The sequence below is a fragment of the Homo sapiens genome, chromosome 14, assembly GCF_000001405.40.
Source record: "Homo sapiens chromosome 14, GRCh38.p14 Primary Assembly".
Taxonomy (NCBI): Eukaryota; Metazoa; Chordata; class Mammalia; order Primates; family Hominidae; genus Homo; species Homo sapiens.
The window spans coordinates 59,529,176-59,550,665 of NC_000014.9; the positions used below are offsets into that span (position 1 = coordinate 59,529,176).

At 39.6% G+C, this 21,490-nt stretch overlaps 1 protein-coding gene across 12 annotated transcripts in view; it reads right to left on the minus strand.

Moving 5' to 3' along the window:
- CCDC175 (coiled-coil domain containing 175) overlaps positions 1-21,490 on the minus strand; it is a 71,746-nt gene that overhangs the window by 24,109 nt on the left and 26,147 nt on the right. For 6 of the 12 annotated variants that reach the window (NM_001164399.2, XM_011537120.4, XM_047431746.1 and 3 more), the window contains 6 exons: positions 15,988-16,124; positions 14,169-14,279; positions 11,500-11,571; positions 9,530-9,665; positions 8,848-8,979; positions 2,597-2,735 (listed from right to left, as the gene is read on the minus strand). In NM_001164399.2, the coding sequence (NP_001157871.1) occupies positions 2,597-2,735; positions 8,848-8,979; positions 9,530-9,665; positions 11,500-11,571; positions 14,169-14,279; positions 15,988-16,124 (727 nt within the window). Of the gene's footprint in view, positions 1-1,528; positions 1,722-2,596; positions 2,736-5,030; positions 5,193-8,847; positions 8,980-9,529; positions 9,666-11,499; positions 11,572-14,168; positions 14,280-15,987; positions 16,125-21,490 lie in introns of those variants that run through there. The other 6 variants (XM_011537124.4, XM_011537122.4, XM_011537125.3 and 3 more) reach the window with 5 other exon arrangements.

Consider the following 21,490-nt stretch of genomic DNA (forward strand, 5'->3'; position numbering starts at 1 on the left):
GAATATGTTAGTCTCCTTCCTCAGGTTGGGGTAAGGGATTATGGAAGAGTTCACAACACCACTGGCTGGCAGCATTCAGCAAACTGAGCTCAGAGGGGATCTCAGTGGGGATCTCAGTACAGTACCTGTCTTCTGCTCTCAGCCATATCTGATGCCTTGCGGTCTGAAGCCATCTGGTCCAGTTTCTTTTGCCAGCATTGAGGAGGAGGAGTCACTCAGCTAACTGCACAAGAAGGGGATTTGACCTGGAGCTCTAATTGCTCTTTATAAAGACTTTCAACCAACCTTTAGCCCTGTGACTCATCTCAGCTGTCATAGTTTCAGGGGATGCCACTGCCTATGACTTTACAGCTTTGGGGGAAAGAACTTTTTGCCTTCATCGTGCCCTTTTTGGCAGGCTTTTGGTGTTTATATTTCTCTTTCTGCCTCTATCCAATTACATCTTCCCAAAATTTGTTGATATTATCAGGTAATAAATAAATAATAAATCAGCAGATAGCAAATGTCTTATCTCTTCCAGTGTCTTGGTACTTATGGATTTGTATCTTTTTCAGAAAAAAAAACCTTTATATACATATTTGGGAGTTTTATGAGGGAACAAAGATATATGTACATGCTTTATCCATCAGATTTAACTAAAAGCTTTCTGTGTATGGAGCCCATGCATGCCATTCTCTGCAAGCGTAACTGCTGGCAGGTCAACTTTCCCACTCTTATGTTCCTTTTACTTCTTTTCTCCTGTCTTCCTCTCTTTTATCTACTTTCTTCAGCATTTTCTCCCCTTTGTTTACATTAAGAGATTTAGTACTTGCAATGTTTTTGCTTACTTTTATACTCCTACTGTTTCTTACATCCTCTACCTAGTAAACAAAGGGATAGGAAGAATGGCTGGGAAAGTAGAAAATTGGGACTAGGCTGGGTGTGGTGGCTCATGCCTATAATCCCAGCACTTTGGGAGGCTGAGGTGGACCTCATGAGGCCAGGAGTTCACGACCACCCTGACCAACATGGTGAAACCCCATCTCTACTAAAAATACAAAAATTGGCCAGGCATGGTGGCGCACACCTGTAATCCCAGCTACTCAGGAGGCTGAGGCAGGAGAATCGCTTGAACCCAGGAGGTGGAGGTTGCAGTGAGCAGAGATTGTACCATTGCACTCCAGCCTGGACAACAGAGTGAGACTCCATCTCAAAAAAAGAAAGAAAGAAAGCAAAAAAGAAAGAGACAGAGAGAGAGAGAAAGAAAGAAAAGGAAAGGAAAGGAAGGGAAGGGGAGGGGAGAGGAGGGGAGGGGAGGGGAGGGAAGGGAAAAGAAAAGAAAATTGGGAATAAGAGACATATGTATTGTAAGTCTGGGTAAAAGTGATAAGAGGCCAAGAAAACCTACTTAAGTTGACTAAATGAAAACCTGACAAGAAAGTGGAAAATCATCTGAGGAGTGGGTACCAGGCCAATTACCCATGTATTATTATTATAACATTCTTACATTTTTAAAAATCCACCCTCCTTGGCAATAATCACTATTCACTTCTGAATATTTTTTTATTCTACATTTGAACATATTGGGGTTCCATATGAATGTCCCATTTTGACACAGGCGATTTTAATTCCTATCCCCATATTTGTCTTTGCTAACCAGTAGACAATTTTTGTTCCCATTGTAGTCCTTTCTGTAACTTTTGGTCCTGGCCTTCTGATTCCCATGTCTCTTCTTTCATCATCTAGAAGATACAAATTCTGGAAGTTGTTCCTGCTTAAAGACCTGGGCGGATTCCTTAGATAATGACCCTCTACTCACCAAATGCAATACAAGACTCAAAACCCAAAAAGATGATTCTGGGCCAGGCACAGCACTTTGGGAGGCCAAGGCAGAAGGATCTCCTAAGCCCAGGAGTTTGAGATTAGCCTGGGCAACATAGTGAGACCCTGTGTGTTTTTGGTTTTGTTTAAAAAAAAAAAAAGATTCTGGATATATAAACTTTGGACCTTGGGCACAGGGTTGAATGATTACATCCAATTTTTTGTGGAGAAAATAATTATTTTTATATTAAACATGCATGATTATACCATGTAATATAATTTAAAATATGCATACTTTCGGACATATTTCACGTCCTCTACTAACTCTCAGATCTGAGACAAGCTCTTACCTATCTGTGCCTCAGGAGGAAGTTAGTGAAAAAAAAAATCTGAGGAGTGCTTACTCAATAAATGGTTAAAATCATAGCAGGAAAAGAGATATAATTTGCAAATTCACGGTAAGAAAATACAAAAAAAATTCCACATGGTAGCAAACAAATGAGTTAGTTCTACCTTTCCCAAGTATGGAGAGAAAGAAAATAATATGGTAAAGGACTAAGTCTTAAATAGTTTTTAAAAGAGAAAAGGAAAATTTTGACAATAGCAATGGTAAGATGGTAGTGTGGAGGAGAAATTAGTAGGTGAAGCAAAAACTAGAGAACAGAGGGCTAAAGGTAATGGGGAAAGTTTGGTGAGTTTCACCATTGGCTTGTAACTGATGACCTCCTTGTGTTAGAAGATGACAGTGAAATCCTTACCTGGGATTGAGTTTAATTACTAAATGCTTCATATGTACCTGTAATAATATTACTGAGCTCTTCTAACTTTCTTCTTTTCTCTTTATACTCTTGTTCTGCCACCTGAAGTTGTGGAAGATACTCAACTAGTTCTTCTTCCTTTTCTTTGTTAATTTGTGTTTCCTTAACAAATATTTCCTTTAAAGAAAATAAAATCAATTGAGAAATATAATTTTGGATAATTCACACAACAATTTAAAGTAGAATATAAGTTTTTTGAGGGAAAGAGTTTCATCTGTCTTGGTCTCCTATCCTGAGGTACATAGAAAGACATATGGCATATACTAATCTTTTAATAAATATTTGTTCCCTGACTCACTGACACTCTGACAATCCACAAAGTAAGGAGATTAGATTCAATTGGTTCTCTAAAGATCCCTTCTGCTTTAAACCTCTTCTGCTATATCTCTATGAACACTACCATGTATACAGCCCAAAAACATATCTGAGAAAATTTCCTTCAGTAATATTTTACCAAAAAGAGGCAGATAAACAGAATACACTTCTAAGAAATGTTGGATGTGAGAAATGGGAAAAAGATAGAAGTAATTGGATATAATGTTAAAATAAATGAGTAAAAAGTGCCCAAAGCAAAACATGAAGATGCCTGCCTACTTATTCAAACTCAAGTTTTGTTTAGTTTCAAATGGAATAATAGTTGGACCTTTCTTAGCAAATCAGGATGGATTTTAAATGGTGACTAAGGCAGAGACCACCAGCTGACATTTAATGTTTGTTCTCTTCTCCTTCAATATTAGGGCTCCTGAGTTTCAGCTGAGCACATGGCTTCTGGCTAGAGTGTGGTTTCTGGCCTTCCCTTGTGGGTGGGTGTGACCAAGGAGTTTGTGCATGGAAGTCATGTGTGCCACTTCTGGGCTCTGCTCCTGCAACAGGAACAGCTGTGTGCTCCCCTGTTCCTTTCCTCCCTCCCCTGGCCAGAGGAGAATGAGAATGGAAGCTACTCCTTGACGCACAGATGTTAGGCTCATGCTGAGGATGGCAGAGCCACCCTGCCAGCCCTGGACCCCTTCCCTATGGCCTGGACTGGGAAAGAGAAACAAACATCTCTCTTGCTGTAATGACCCCTTTGAGCATCTTCCCGACTAGATGTTCAGACTCACAAAATTTGATTAGGCTACACTTGTCCCAGTTTACTCTTAAAAACTTTTAGTTTTGGTTTTCATTTTTATCCAAGTTGTATGCACACATAATTGGAAGGAAATGCTAAGTTTTAGCAGGGCAGTGCCAGGCATGCTTCCTTATTGGGAGGTGTCTGCACAAGACAGCAGACCAGTGGCTGTTTCCTTCAAGCCCACCAAAGTGATACTTCAGATGCAAGAGAGACAGAGAGACTCACACAGGTGGGGTTATAGTCTCCCTGGCTTAGAAACCCCATGTTCATATAGGAACTAATATCTCTTGGACGTATCTTCCAGATTTCAAAGGGCATACCCACTTAAGAGAGCCACCAAACCCAGGGAAGCCCAATGCCACAGTTTCCCATGGGTTATTTTTCCAGTCAAGATGCAGCATACAAATCAGGAGTCATTGTTATACAAGCAATGTTGCTTCATAATATAGCTGATATTCTACCTTCATCAGGCTATTAGGGGAAGGAGCCAGAAAGTGGTTAACCCAGGGCCAGTTTCCCAATGAAAAAGGAAAGAGGGTTGTTAACCCTTTTCACATCTTGCTTATGTTCACTGTGTTTTAGCATATCTTTGATAGAGTAGTTTTCTTGCACCTTAACTAATACACCGATATGCTGGCTGATATGTCTCCTCCCAAATTGCCATTAGCATCCTTATGAATAAATACAAAGAAGCTAAAATGCATAGAAAAATACCATAATTCAAAAATATCATAATGCAGAAGCAGGAGTACATTTCTCCAGACTGCAACATTTAAGCAGGTTGAGTTAAGAAACTCAATCCAGCCAGGCATGGTGGCTCACACCTGGAATCCCAGCACTTTGGGAGGCAGAGGCGGGCAGATCACAAGGTCAGGAGATCGAGACTATCCTGGCTAACATGGTGAAACCCCGTCTCTACTAAAAATACAAAAAAATTAGCCAGGCCTGGTGGCATGCACCTGTAGTCCCAGCTACTTGGGAGGCTGAGGCAGGAGAATCGCTTGAACCCGGGAGGCGGAGGTTGCAGTGAGCCTAGATCGCGCCACTGCACTCCAGCCTGGGCAACAGGGTGAGACCCCTTTTAAAAAAAAAAAAAAAAAAAGAAACGCAATCCTGTATTATCCATACTAGGTTTTTTAAACAAGAATAGCCTGTAAATACAAGTTTGTATGTGCATGCATTAATTCATTCCATTGCCTGTATGCAGCTCAGGTTCCCAGGGCTGCTGTGATAAGAAGCCATTCTCTTGTTCCGTTCTCTGAAAGAGACTGTGGGGTACTAGGTTCAGTGTAGCAAGTTGCTTGCCTGTGGGCTCAGGTTGTTGGAGTGGGGCAGCCAGTCAGGTTCACACGGTCTTCAGATCCTTCTAGATCCTTTCTCATTGTCTCTGATTCCTAAGCCACATGCATATTTATAGATCAGTGATGACAGGCTCCAGTTTCTGATCCAGGTCCCCCATCTCCCTGAAGGTGGAGCGTTGGAAAAGAGAGACCAATGCAGATTCCAGTCCACCCTCGCTCATCCTGTGAGTTCTAGTTTGTTTTTGCTTCCATTCACTTCCTGTTGGTCTTTCCATCCCAAGTACCTGCCCTGCTGACTTCAGGCCCCAGCACCAGATGTAAAGCTGACAGCCTCACCAGACTGTGTAACTAGATATCACAGTTGCAGAAGGTCAAGTCCTATAATAAACCCTTTTCCTGGCAGCTCTGCTTCTCTGATCAAATTCTGCCATATACGGGGCTGTAGGACCCAGAAAAGTGAATGGTCCTTGGCCTGGGCTTGTCCATGCTTTATCAGGATGATGTGAAAAATCTGTGGCAAGCTCTGATAGAAGATTTACAACGGAGGGTCCGGTATCAGAGTCAGGCCTATGGAAAAGTCAGCCACAGCACTGCCCTGTCGACAACACATCCCAACACTGGGATGTTTATATTATGAACCAGTGACTAATCTAATTAATATTCAGGGCTGTTTTCCTTAGAATGTATGGGTCAGAGACCCAAATGGTAGTGGGACTTCTCACTATTAAACCTAATGATTTTGCTTTTCCTCCGTGTGACTTTGGGTTCTGTTGATTTAGAGATACTAGTGGGGAGAAAAATGGTTCCACCAGGGGCACAACAATAGTTTCATAAACCACAATGTGAGGTTGCTTCCTTCTAATTTTGGGCTCCTCATGCCACTGAATCAAAGGCAGAAATGGGATTACAATGTGCCTGAGGTTATTGGTGCTGATTATCGAGGGGAAATTGGGTTATTGCTATATAATAATGGTGCACAGGCTGTCATTGGCCCATCCCTTTGTGTGAATTAGGCATGGGTGGACACAGTCCTGCAGTGGGCACACAGCCTGGCAAGCCGAGTGCAGGCTGGAGGCTTGTGTGTAGTGGTTTTGCAGTTGATTTTCTTGAGTTTTGCGATCTACTGATCATCTCATCTGCCAAGTCTTATGCTTCTATTTTATGTATCTTGCCTAATTGCACTGTATAAACTTGAGTAAAAAGTTAAATAGGATCCTTATTCCTTATCCTGTTCATGACTCAAAGGGGATTGCCCTCATTGTTTTACCAGTAGGCATGATGGTAAAATTATCAAAAATATCTGAGATACTGACCGCTTCTTAACACCTCTTTGGTTACCATTTTTGTTCAAGCTACCTTCATTTCTAACTTGGGTTATTGCTTTAGCTCCCTAATTGTTCTTCCTATGTCCACCCTTTTCTTTCCTAAATTCCACTCAACATAGAAGCTAGAATGATCCTAATTAAAGGAAAAACTCAGATTATTTCAGCTCTCCACTCAGAACCCTCCAATGGCTTTCTAGCCCAGACACAACAAAGGACAAAGTACTTATGATGGCCTATAAGGGTGTGCCTGATGCTCCACTTGGATCTCCCCTTGAAGGCGGACTCGCCACACCATTGTGAGGAATGTGTTTAGCTCACACATCCAATAGTTGGCTCCTTCAGGGTCAGCTCAGCTATCTAGCCAATATCATGCTCCTTTGGGGCAGTCCCAGTCAGTGACTAAGCAAGGAGGTGGTACAAGGATGCAGGAAGCCATTTCTGCCCAAGGCAGTCCTCTTCTAACAGGCAATCCTTGCTCCAGAGCTCCCCAGAGAGAGTTTGTCAGGCTACATAATGGCCTGACAGCTTTCCCTGCCCAATCTTGTCATAGATACTTCTCCCTAATATACCTTATCACTCCTAATTCCATCTCAGCATCTGCTTCATGAACATGACTCCCACCACCCCTGGCACTCCCCAGCTCTTATTCAGCAACCCCACCCCCTTGTGATTCCTTAGATAGGAGGGTCCTGCCTCAGGCCCTTCCTGCCTAGCATGCCCTCTGCCCGGAGCCATCTCCTGCAGACATCTGCAGGGCACCCTGCCTTATATTCAGAGCTGGACCCTTCTCTGACTACCCCTATTTACAACAGCACACAGACCATATCACGTGCACTCTCCCTATCCCACTTCCCTGCTTGATTTTTCTCTATGCCATTTATCACCATCCAATATACTACTTGTTCATCTCATTTATTTTCATTCCCCCGTGCTAGATAGAAAGCTCCATAAAGGCAGAGTTTTTGCCTGTTTTTCAGCATTTAGAAGAATGCCAGGCACCTAGACTAATGCTTTCCACCCCGCCTCCTCTCCCCCCTCACCCCGTTTCTTCTAACATTGTAGTCATTTGTGTCATCTTTCCTTCGTTTGTTCCCCGAGTTGCACCGGTTTCTGTTTCACCTCTTCCTATTTTCTGGCCCTCACCTTCTGACATCTCTTCCCTAAGTGTCTACATTTCCATGCTAATAATTTTCCTTTGTACTGCTATTAAATTATTTTTTTAAATTCATAGAAGAATGTTTGATCATAGTATTTTGTTTGTTTGTTTTTGAGATGGAGTCTCGCTCTGTCGCCCAGGCTGGAGTGCAGTGGTGTGATCTCGGCTCACTGCAACCTCTGCCTGCTGGGTTCAGGTAATTCTCTGCCTCAGCCTCCCGAGTAGCTGGGATTACAGGGGCATGCCACCATGCCTGGCTAATTTTTTTGTATTTTTAGTAGAGACGAGGTTTCACTATCTTGGCCAGGCTGATCTTGAACTCCTGACATCGTGATCCACCTACCTTGGCCTCCCAAAGTGCTGGGATTACTGGCCTGAGCCACTGCACCTGGCCTGATCATAGTTTTTATTTGTTCCATGCCACCATTTTTTCTGAGTGTTCTTCATTTGTAGGAAAGTTTGCTCCTCTTTTCAGTAGTTTTTCTCCTAGTATTTTTGTATGAAAAATGTGACTACTTTCTTTTGGTTATTAATATTATTAATAGAAAGAACTGGCTGTCCTTGGGCCAGTCATCTGCAGAGGGTTTCTGCAGGATGTGGCAGGATGGGATGGGGTGGGGGAAGACAACTTGGATCAGGTAAAGACTCTAAATTAGGAAATTTCCAAGCTCCCTATTTTCATCCTGCAGTATGGGGTTATTTCCTTCAAATAAAGCCCCTCTTTGGTGTGGCCAAGACCTCTTCTTCATTTTCAAACCTGATCAAGTTCAGGAAGGCTTCTACCACCATCCCTGTTCTCAGCTGCTCTGCTAATGGCTGCCTCCAGGGTAATATCATCGCCTTGGGAAGGTGCATTTTTTTATTGTGTTTCTGTGGACCTGGCACTTCTGGGTACTTTCAGTGGCTTTTCTCTCCACCTCCCCCAGCATCCATGCCCTGTTCTATCTCAGGTTGGCTTTTGGCAGTTCTCAAGACAGCATGATACCCTCTTTTTAAAGAGCACATCTGAGACTGACTTTACTAATCTCCCTTGCCCCAGCTATTTTCAAGCCAGCTCCAAATGGCTTCCTACACAACTCCACCTGTCTCTAAGGCCATTGCCAACAGTTCTACATAATTTGAAGTGTGATTATTATTATTATTTTTTCTGAAAAAATATTTCTTATTGCTCTGCTTCCTCTTCAGGAAAAGAAGAAAGATCCAGAATGAAATTGTAGCCTCTTTCATACTAGAATATTTATTTTACATTTAACTGATTAGAATAGCATGAAATATTATTCCCCCTCCCCCTCATGTAGTCATCCAAAAGTATTCTTAGATGCAAAATAAAATTTACCTCATACTTGCTTAACTCTTTCATTAACATTTTTTCTTTGTTAACAAATGCTTTCTCCTCTTCTTTTAATTCTGTTGTAAGTTTTTCAATCTGTGCCACAAATCCACTGATCTCCTGTTGTCTGAAACTGGTCTAATTAGAGAAAAATAAGAATTTGTCATTTCTCTTGTAGTGATCAGCCTTACATTTTCGAATAGCCAGGAAATTAATATCTCTTTGCAGGAGGCCTGCTTCTGATTTCAGTTCATATAATTTCTCAGCAACCACTGAGAGGAATATTTTTTTCCTCCAGAAATTAAGTTCTTCACCAAGTGATATTTTTATAAATATGACATGAGGAGTGGGGAGGGTAGAGGACAGTGAGTGAGCAGAGGGTAACTATAAAAGCTTAAAGAAATGATACATGGGCTCATATTTTTAGAGGTAATTCCCCTAAAGACTAACCTCAAGTAAGTTTCTGGTTACATGCTTCAAAAGCATATTCTACTGTATTTGCTAATTCTCTCTAGTTAATATACAGCAAGTGAATACATTTCCTAAGAAAATCAAATAACTCACTCTAAACATGAAATCAGCAGAAAGGAAAATACTTTTTAATAAGATAGGATTTAATTAAATATTAAAGGAGAATTGCTGATATGCAATGTAGGGGACTAATTCTAAGTTCTTTCAGTTCTCTTACCTCGTTAAGTAATTCAATTCGTCTAACTTCTGCATTCTGAATTTTTTCTGTAATAGCTTGTATTTCAGCTTTTATCTTGGCTGTCCAACGTGCATGCTTTTTTCTCAAGCAAGCCATTTTCCACTGAGTTATAACACTAGAGATTAGAGCAAAAAGAATTGCCATTAAATTGACATAGCAGTTTACTAAAAAGATGAAGAAATTCAAAGCAAAACAAGTCATACTATGACTACACAAAATTGTTTGTGCTATTAGTGTTGCAGACTACACACATTGCATGAAAAAGTAAGACAAAACATTAACTGCCTCAATTCTGTCTCTGCAAGTTGCTTCAGAGTAAGAAGTTACATCTACACTTCCAATAGAACAGCGAACAAAGCACACCTGGCAGCTTGCCTCCTTCAGGTAAAGGATAGAAATGAGGAAGGCTTGGGGCAAGTGGAAAATGAGGCCCAGGCAGAAATAGTAATAGAATTACCTAAATTACCGGATGTGCTACTGATAGATTTCAAACTTCTGCTTTCTCAAATTTTTCTCCACCACAACATTAAAAAGCTACATATTTGAAGAATGGTAAAAATGTGCAATTAGGGCCAGGCGCAGTGGCTCACGCCTATAATCCCAGCACTTTGGGAGGCCGAGGCGGGCAGATCACCTGAGGTCAGGCATTCAAGACCAGCCTGCCCAACATGGAGAAACCCTGTCTCTACTAAAAATACAAACAAATTAGCCAGGTGTGGTGGCACAAGCCTGTAATCCCAGCTACTTGGGAGGCTGAGGCAGGAGAATCACTTGAACCTGGGAGGTGGGGGTTGCGGTGAGCTGAGATTGTGCCATTGCACTCTATCCTGGGCAAAAAGAGTGAAACTCTGTCTCAAAAAAAAAAGTGCAATTAGAGTCTTTAAGTGCACATTCAATAATAACATTGGCCAGGCATGGTGGCTCATGCCTGTAATCCCAGCACTTTGGGAGGCCAAGGTGGGCAGATCACTTGAGGCCAAGAGTTTGAGAGCAGCGTGGCCAACATAGTGAAACCCCATCTCTACTAAAAATACAAAAATTAGCCGGGCATGATAGTGCATGCCTGTAATCCCAGCTATCAGGAGAATTGCTTGAACCTGGGAAGCGGAGGTTGTGGTGAGCCGAGATCACTCCACTGCACTTCAGCCTGGGCAATGGAGTGAGAGTCCGTCTCAAAAACAAACAAACAAACAAAATTAACTGGGAGTGGTAGTGCGTGCCGGTAGTCCTAGCTAATCTGGTGGCTGAGGCATGAGAATCGCTTGAACCTGGGAGGCAGAGGTTGCAGTGTGCCGAGATGGCACCACTGCACTCCATCTTGGGCGACAGAGCAAGACTCTGTCTCAAAATAATAATAATAATACTAACAATAACAACAACGATAATAAAATACAGCTAAGTATAAGCAAGAGCTTTTTAGCTGCACTGATCTAAATACAGTATTTTACATGTATCATCTCATTTACATTCACAGCTACTTTATAAGGTAGATACTGTTATCCTTCCCCACTTTATAGGGATGGGAGCAAAGAGAAGTGATTAAATAACTTAGCCTTGGTCACAGAGCTAATAAGGACAGCAACCAAAGCAGGCCATCTGCAGAGCCAGTAGCCTTCACGCCACCTTCCTCTCTTACCATACCTGTCACCTCCCCTACTGGTTCACAAAGAGGCCTGGATGAGCAAAAGGCATTGCACAAATATTAGCAATTTTACTCTTTGGTGACCGCACTTGATTGAAATGGAAAACTTTGATTCTGTTCAATGCCAAAAAAAAAAAAATCAAATTAACCAATACATCTAGATCCGAGAGAATTTACACATAATTTAGGAAAATCATTCCCTTGGGTTCTAGTAACAACAAGTACTCTGCACTGTTCATTAAGATAACATATACTGCTGATAACACAAAACACAAATAAACTTTTTTTTTTTTTTTTTTTTTTTTACCATCTCTGACTTTCTCTTTCCAGGTTAGCACTCAGGATTTTGATTTGTTGCTGATACACTGTTTTTGTTGCTCTAAAAAGAAAAACATATTGGATTTTGCATTTATGGGAGCTGTTAGAATATACAATAGACTCTATACGCATAATTTGTATGCTCAGTAAGGCTATAGTCTAATTGGGAGACAAAATAAGCCTTGTGAAACAACTAAACATTTCAGTGGCAGACTGATAGACAATTGCAATTCTATGTTAGTGCAAACTGATTCTGCAACGGTTGTGGTGAATAGCCAAGGATAGAGAAGAGATTTCTGGGGAGGCAACTGATGAAGGGTTACTAGAGGTTAATGTTTCTCAGAGGGAGGAATGTGGATTGCCAGAATGGAGGTGCAATCTTACCAAGGAAAGGGTGTCATCATTTGCAAATACAGAGGGAAGGAACAGCAAGTCAGGCCTCTGCTATGACTTAAGTTAGGCTTGCTGTATACAGAGGACATGAAGGAAAGAATAACCCTATGACACAAGAGGAAGTAAGGTCAACACATTGTTGAGGAACTCCAGACCCTAGATTGAGCTCTGATTTGATATAATATACAATTCAGAAAGCCAATATAGTTTCTTGAACTGGGGAAAAGTACTAACTAAGGATAGAAGATTTTCTTGTGGTAGGATGGATGGAAATGTGAAGATTCCAACATAGGTAACAGAAGCCTTTATTTTTATCCCCAGCCCCGCCTTTTCCCTATTAAGTGATTCTTGGACAGAAATGAATTGAAAGCCACATAAGTAAAATGCTGCTTTATATCTTTTGAAAGAAATATTCACAAATGAAACTTAGAATAGGAAACACTCTTAAATAAACTAGAAACATACCTGTTCTCGTGTTTCTTTGTCTGTTTGAAACTGTAGTATGGACTCTCAATTTCCTACCAAAATAAATCTAATATCCTCCTCTGGATCTCTAAGGGTCTTCACAATTCACCCCAACCTTACTGATTTTGTTTATTTACATATTTAATGTAATCCATAAAGAACTTGAACCAGTTTAAAATAAAGCAACAATAATATAAAAAAATCCTAAATGGATAATAACATTGGGCCACAAATTTGGCTTTGAGATTCCTGGTGACCAGAGCAATTATGCACAGTAACTGACTATAAAATTTGCATTATTCATGAGGAACATAAAACCTGATTCAGTCCAAATCGATCTTCCTCCTCTTTTATTAGTAGTTCGTAGTTTTCCTTATGAAGCTGACATAATTGGAAACAGATGTTTGAATATATTATTTAACAATATGGGGACAACCATTCAAGCAAGGAACCTATGCTTCCTGTCACATTCCAGATATCTGTTGGTATGTGCTTGAATTTTCATCACCCCCTACCTTAGTTCTATAAGCTGGCTTCTTGATTGTCCTATATTTAAATCATGTGTCTCCCTTTGTGTGGTGATATCATTCTCCCATACAATGAGCACAGAAAAATCTGACTTGCTTTTAAAGGTCTAGTTCAAATTTTAAATCCTATATAACGAAGGACTCCTTGATTTCACTTTCATGCCCGACTGTTTTATATAATTCACTGTCATACATGGTTTATTTTTCACCATCATATGTGGTTCATTAATTATTTCATATGTGTTAGTCTTGCTTCTCTGCCCAACTGAACTATAAGCTCCTTATGCTCAGTCTTAATGTGTACAATGGTAGAATATTTACATAGGTCATTTTGACAATCATTATAAAAGTGAAAAATATGCATCCTCCTTTGATCCAGCACTTCAACTTTTAGGACTTTATTACAAAAAAAAAGTCATATGGGTAGAGAGAGATATGTTAACTTCAAATATTTGTAATATAGGCAACAGACAAAAGTAAATCTCCATCAATAGAGTGCTGGTTAAATACAGTATAGTATAATGTGTATTATACTATAATCTGCATAGAATACTATGCAGTTAGAGAAAAGATTGAGATATATTGAGAATATATATATATTCTCTTTGTTTTGAAATAGTTTTAAACTCAACAGGTAAGCATAAAAAAATAGTACAAAGAATTCCCATATATCCTTCACCAAATTCTCCAACTGTTAACATTTTACCTTATTTGTTTTATCATCCTCCTAGGTATAATTTTAAGTGGAACAAATTCAGTTATAGTAGAGTATAATCCAATTTTTGGATACATACATATAAATATATATTTGAAAGCATATATTGTAAACTGTTAACAGTGATTATGCCTGTGGAGAGATGGAGATTTTAGGGTAACTTTTATTCTCTAAGTTATGCATTTTATATATGAATTTTAAAATCATGTACAGGTATTATTTTTTAATCAGAAAAAAATTAAAATTAAAATGACTTAGAATGCAGAAATGAACATCAATGGGACTCAGTGTTGTGATAATGTTCAGGCACATTCTTGTCACTGCACCCCAACTGGTCCATTCCTGGGGCCCAGGAGCTCCCATAGAATTCAGAACCTGTTTATCCTTTCAATGAAAAAGTCCATGAGAGTGACTTCCAGACTGTGAAACAGAGAGAGCTAGTTCTAAACTTCCTTTTCTGTAGTATGTTAGAAATCAACATAGATTTACTGCTATCATTTATTAAAAAATAAATGCAGAGAAAGTAAAGATAAAAAATTTCAAAGGCAACAAACATACTGTTGAAGTTCCTGGAGTGTGATGAGTCCTTCTTCCATATTTTTGATGTCTACTCTCTTTTGTGACAGAAAGTATTCTTTCTGAGAAATAAATGTCAGCTGTTTCTGATTTCTATCATGAAAAACAGAGTTATTTGTTGAAGGCTGACATAAATATGCAAACACAAATAAGAATTTCAAAAATAGTTTTGAAAGTTCAGATCATGAGCTATTTGCTACATAAATTATTAAAAAATAGAAAGCAAGTCTTTTTGCTAGTGGTAGCTAGATCTAAATTTATGCAAAGGATTTTCTTTTTTTCAAATTTTTTCCCAGCTGATTTTTGTACTTTTGTAGAGATGGGGTTTCCCTGTGTTGCCCAGGCTGGTATCAAATGCCTGGTCTTATGCGATTGGTCCATGTTGGCCTCCCAAAGTGCTGGATTACAGGCGTGAGCCACTGTGCCCAGCATACACATAGGATTTTCATAAAATTTATGAAAATTCCCAAGCCACTGAAAGAATATTCACCACAATAGTAACCACAAAACAACAAGAACAGTTGTGTAGTGCTCCATGTCTCTGAGTGGGTGTGTCTCTCCTAACGTGCTTATCAATTCTGTCATGTTCTTCCATGGAAGGTGAAGGAGTCAGTCAGATTAATTTTGCATATTGGCTCTACCTTTTAATAAGAGTGTGATCTTAAGCTAACAATTAGCTTCACCTGTGAATAAGCTTCAGTTTCACCAGCTATAAAATGAGAATTACAATGCCTAGCTCAACGGATGAATGAATTTAATAAGATGTAAAGTGCTCCTCTCAGCGTGTGGATTGATAAGGGTTTTTTTTGTTTGTTTTGTTTTGAGACGGAGTCTGGCTCTTGTCGCCCAGGCCAGAGTGCAATGGTATGATCTTAGCTTACTGTAACCTCCGCCTCCTGGGTTGAAGCGATTCTCCTGCCTCAGCTTTCAGAGTAGCTGGGATTACAAGCACCCGCCACCATGCCCAGCTAATTTTTTGTATTTTTAGTAGAGATGGGGTTTCAAGTAGTTATTTTTTTGTCTCAAATTGCAGGAGAAAATAATGAGGCTCAGAGAAGTTTATAGTCTTGTTCAAATGCCCAGCTATTGATAGGAAGCTGCCTGTATCAGAAAGTATTTTATCTAAGTGACTCATCTTCCAAACTGCTGTGGACTGAATTGTGCCTCCCCCATCTCCAGAATTTATCTGTTGAAATGCTAACCCCCAACATGATGAAGAAATAGAGAGATTTGGGTAATTTTTACTCTCTAAGCTATACATTTCTATATTTGAATTTAAAAATCAAGTACAGGCATTGCTTTTTTCATGAGAAAAAATTAAAATTTAAAGTGCTTTAGAATGGCAGAAAGGAACATTGTGGGGCATTAGTGTCGTGATAATGCTCGAGCATATTATAAAGATGGGGCCTTTGGGGAAGTGATTAGGTTTGGATGAGGACATGAGGGTGGGACCTTATAAAAGAAAGACACCAGACAGACAGCATGTTCTCTCTCCACCCTGTGAAGACACAGAGAGAAAGCGGCTGGGTGGCTGTAAGCTAGAAAAGGGCCCTCACTCAGACTTCCAGCCTCCAGAACCGTGAGAAAATCAATTTCTGTTGCTTAAGCAGCCAGTCTATGGTATTTTGTTATGGCAGCCTGAGCTGCTGAGACAGAAACCAGTAATGATAGCAAATGTTTTCATTTTTGTCAATAGATTTTAAAACTAGGATAAGTTTAAGTGGAGAGCCACCACTTTGATAGCAAGAAAAGCACCCCATAATGATGGCATGTTGAATCACACGTGTGGGTAAAGACATACTCATCATGAATCTTTTGTTTTTGCAAAAAAGCTTTTTCTTCCTCACTTAAAACAATCTTATATTGTCTGGCAAGAGTTTTCATTTTCTCTCGTAGGTCTTTGTATTCCATACGAGCAGCATGCAGTGTTTCAACCAGCTAGAGAAAAACAAAGGAGGTGAATGAGAGGACTGGCTTCACTGCTCCTCTGAGGCCATCTGCATCAGGTGGCAACTCGGAGAGCACCTGGGATATTGCTTAGCCCACCGTGAATATGCCATAAATGCCGAGTGATTTAATTCTATAGCAAACATACAACTGTATATTTTGAGACCTCTACTATAAATTTTTTTAAGTATAGAAAAATAGTAAACCCTGCTGCAAAACCATAGAGTAATAATCCATATTGAAATGCAAAATGGGATGAATAAACTGTGACTGCTGAGCAACGTTAGTATGTCCTTTTCCAGAATATAAACTATAGAAAATGTAACATCCTCAGAAGCTCTTCCTCAAAACATTTTTGAGTTGATATTATGCTTGCTTCTTGTGAAATATTTCTATTTGAGGACAAAAAATAGTACCCACCAGTGTTCTACATGAGATCAGAATTTTTTGCTTATTAAATTGCTTCAAACGAGGTAAGAAAGTCAAGTTTAGCGGAAACAATGGGCTGAATAGTTCAAAACAACCTTCTATCTGAGGACAACTAAAATAGCTACATGAAAAAATATTTGTAGAAGTGTTGAAGAACTCACAAGATAACAAAGAATTATTCAAAAAACAAAAATAGAATTACTATTCAACCCAGCAATCCCATTACTGAGTATATACCCAAAGGAAAATAAATTAATCTACCGAAAGGATACCTGTGCTCATGTTTATTGCTGCACTATTCAGAATAGCAAAGACATGGAATCAACCCAGGTGCCCATGAACAGTGGATTGGATAAAGAAAATGTGGTAATAATACACCATGGAACATTATGCAGCCATAAAAAAGAATGAAATCATATCCTTTCTAGCAACATGGGTGCACCTAGAGGCCATTATCCTAAGTGGATTAATGCAGAAGCAGAAAATGAAATACTGCATATTCTCATTTATAAGTAGGAGCTAAATATTAGGTATACATGGACACAAAGATGGGAACAATAGACACTGGGACTCCAAAAAGATGGAGGGAAGAAGTGGGGAAGGGTTGGAAAACTACCTATTGGGTATTATGTTCACTACTTGGGTGACGGGATCATTAGCAGCCCAAATCTCAGCATTATGCAATATACCCTTGTAATAAACCTGCACATGTGCTTGAATCTAAAAAAATAAAAATAAAAAATAAAGGATAATAGGTGATTGCTAGGCCTAATTCTAGGAGAATGAAGAATCCAGAGCGGTAAGGCTAGCACTTAAAATTCCTCTGCCTTGAAAACACTTACTAACATAGAAGAAACCACTTGAAAACCAAGTTTTGGGTTTTTTTGCATGGCAAGTGGAACAAAAGCCAACATGTAATGCTCATCCAGGTGTTGAGCCTACATAAACCTCCCACTATTTTAGTCTGGGATTCCAAAGAGCTTCACCCTTTGGAAGGCTGAGGCAGGAGGATTGCTTGAGACTGGGAGGTCCGAGGCTGCAGTGAGCCATGATCATACCACTGCACTCTAGTCTGGGTGACAGAGTGAGATCCTGTCTCAAAAATAAATAAATAAATAAATAAAAAAGAATGCACAATTAAAAGATGAACAAATATCTAGAGCTTCTCAACATTTGAGTAAAATCAATACTGTAAAACAAAGCAATCAAAATCTACTATAGGCCAGGTGTGGTGGCTCGTGCCTGTAATCCTAGCACTTTGAGAGGCGGAGGTGGGAGGATCACTTGAGCCCAGGAGTTAGAGACCAGCCTGGGCAACACAGGGAGAATAGGACAAAAGAAACAGGTGAGGACATAATGGCTGAAAATTTTGCAGAACTTATGAAATATAGAAATTCTCAGATTTAAGAAGCCAAATAAATCCCAAGGAGGAAAAATGAAAAGAAAATTTGGACACATCATAGTGCAACTGAACAGCTAAGGCAAAGGGAACAAAGAAGATCTAAAACAAAAGACATATGCCATGTTAACGGATTGGAAGCCTCAATACTGTGAAAATGTGAAACCCTCTTCAAACTGATTTACAGATTTAACACAATCCCAATCAAAATCCAAACAGGTTTTTTGGAAGAACGTGACAAAATTGAAAAGGTCAAGAATAGCTGGAACACTTTTGAAGAACAAAGGTGAAGGATTTATACCACTGGCCATAAAAACTCATTTTAAAGGTACTAATTAAGACAATATTGTTTTAGTGTGAGGAGAGATGAATAGTTCAAATGAATAGAGTCAACAATCCACATATACATTTATGATCTATACTTGATTTATGACAATAGTATGACCACAATGTAGTGAAGGAAAGGATTGTATTTTCAGTAAATGGTGCTGGTTAATTGGACAACCTTATGGAAAAATATGAATCTTGACCACTATCTCAAAGCACATACACATAAATTCCAGATGGTTCGTAGTCTTAAATGTGAAAGGTCAAACAACAAAGCTTCTCAATGGTAACAGAAGAGAATAGTCTCATGACATAGGACATAGAGAACATTAACTAAAAAGATTGATAAACTGGACTTCATTAAAATTAATAAATTATATTCATCAAAAATATGTACATAAATATTGTATATTTATGGTTTATGTATTGTTCTGTAATGTGTAATATTTTATAATAACAAAGCTAAATCCAACAATGCCACTGCTGGGTATATATCCCAAGGAAATGAAATCAGTATGGCAAAGAGATATCTGTACTTCTATGTTCATTGCAGCACTATTCAGAGTAGCTAAGATGTAGAATCAACCTAGGTGTTCATCAGCCGATGAATGGATAAAGAAAATGTATACATGCACAATTGAATATATTCAGCCTTAAAAAAGAAGAAATTCTTGTCATTTGTGACAACATGGATGAACCTGGAGGACATCATGTTAAGTGAAATAATTCAGGTACAGAAAAACAAATATTACATGATCCCAATTATACGCAAAATCTAAAAAAAAACTGAACTCAGAAGTAGAGAGTAGAATGGTGGTTGCCAAGGGCTGGTGAGGGAGGGGAGATGCTGGGAAAAAAAGGTAAAGTTTGAGTTGAATGTCAATCTTTGAATGTTCCTCCAATAACTCATGAGAATTATGATTGGATGTCACTAAGAGCCCATAGTTTCTACCCTAGTGAAAATAATAAATAAGCAAGAGCCTTGCATTCTTTGAAGTGATCACTCACTTATAACCATGGAATTTGGCTAAGGGCTATGGATTAAAGGAAAACTCTTTGACCAAGTAAGCCATGCCAGTTTAGGGGTCCTAGACTGTTCAGAAAATCATGTGGGCTAGAAAATGTGGAGTTATTGTCAGAAAGTTGTCTACTAGCTTCTGCAGTAGGAAACAAATGGGAGGAAAAATAATATTTTGCTCACAAAATGAAAGACAAATTCGAAACCAACCAACCAGCCAACAAACCAACCTTGTCTGGTTTCTGTCTGTTGTTAGGTATCCTTGCAAATAAAAGAATCACAGTAGCCCAGAGGGGAAGCCATCTCTCATGCTGATAGCTCACAAAAGCAAAAATGGAAAGCATTTAATTGGTACAAATCATTCTTCTGGGAGGGAGCTGCCTTTGATATCCCTGATGAGCCTCAGGGCATGGGTACAGAGGCAGATATTATGCTTTGTAAAAGAGGGAGAAGAATTTGGATGTGGGGTGGTATCCTACAGCAAGAAGATAGATGAGGAACTGTGAGAGAAAGAAAAGGTGGTGAACAAGATGGCTTTGTGCTCTGCAACAGGATTTCTCCCCATGACCACTAAAATTTCCAACAGAGTTTGCAATAGATCATGAAATGCTTAGTGTAATTAAATTTGTTTTAGAAACTAGTGAAAAATGTGAATTTTATATCCTGGTTGACTTGGGCAAAACAAAGATAGAGGATGTAGACAGAGAGTACCTGACCCAAGTCCTGAACAATTAAAATTAAGTATGTGTGGCTAGGGGTGGTGGCTCACGCCTGTAATCCCCAGCATTCTGGGAGACCAAGGCAGGAGGATTGCTTGAACTGAGGAGTTCACAACCAGCCGAGGCAACATAAAGCGACCTGTCTCTGCAAATAATTTAAAAATTAGCTGGGCATGGTGTTGAGTGCCTGTAGTCTCAGCTATTCAGCAGGCTGCAGCAGGAGGATCACCTAGGCCTGGGAGGTTGAGGCTATAGTGATTTGTGACTATGCCACTGCATTCCAGCCTGGTGGGTGGATCATTTCAGGTCAGGAGTTGGAGACCAGCCTGACCAACATAATGAAACCCTGTCTCTATTAAAAGTACAAAAATTAGCCAGGTGTCATGGCACAAGCCTGTAATCCCAGCCACTTGGGAGGCTGAGGCAGGAGAATCGCTTGAACCCCAGAGGCAGAGGTTGCAGTGAGCTGAGATCATGCCACTGCACTCCAGCCTGGGTGATAGAGTGAGACTATGTCTCAAAAAAAAAAAGAAAAAGAAAAAGAAAAAAAAGAAAGAAAAGAAAGGAAATTAAGTTTGGATATATGAGGTGTTGGGAAGAGATACTAAGGATATTTCTCCTTCAATACAAGGGACAAGAAGAATTTCAGTTATGTCTAGTGTGTATGTATATTTGTGTGTATAAGTAATTAAATGGGATCATATCATACATACTGTTGTTTCTCTTTTTTAGAGGGACTCTTGCTCTGCCCCCAGGCTGGAGTGCAGTGGTGCGATCTCAGCTCACTGCAACCTCTGTCTCCCAGGTTCAAGCAATTCTCCTGTCTCAGCCTCCTGAGCAGCTGGGACTACAGGTGCACACCACCACACCCAGCTAATTTTTTATTTTTGTAGAAATGGGGTTTCACCATATTGGTCAGGCTGATCTCAAACCCCTGACCCCAGGTGATCCACTCACCTAGGCCTCCCAAAGTGCTGGAATTACAGGCGTGAGCCACCATGACTAGCCTACTGTTTTATAATATAGTATTTGTCACTCAATAACGTATTATGAGCAATACTGATACTTATTTAACCAAGGCCTTTTGGTTGAATTTTAATTGTATTACTCACCCTCACCCCCAATTTTTCACTATCCTAATGAAGGCTTCATTGAATATTTTGAGGCTAAATCTTGGTTTACTCACATGATTATCTACTTATGATATGATTTTTTTTTAACCTAAGTTTGAAAAATGTCTAGTGAATTTTCCTGGGGGCTAAATCTGACTCAAATACTTCTAAATAAGTATTTAGAATATTATATTATAATATGTGTATTAGTCAGGGTTCTCTAGAGGGACAGAACTAACAGGATAGATGTATACATAAAGGGGAGTTTATTAAGGAGTATTAACTCACACAATCACAAGGTCCCACAATAGGCCATCTGCAAGCTGAGGAGCCAGGAAGCCAGTCCAAGTACC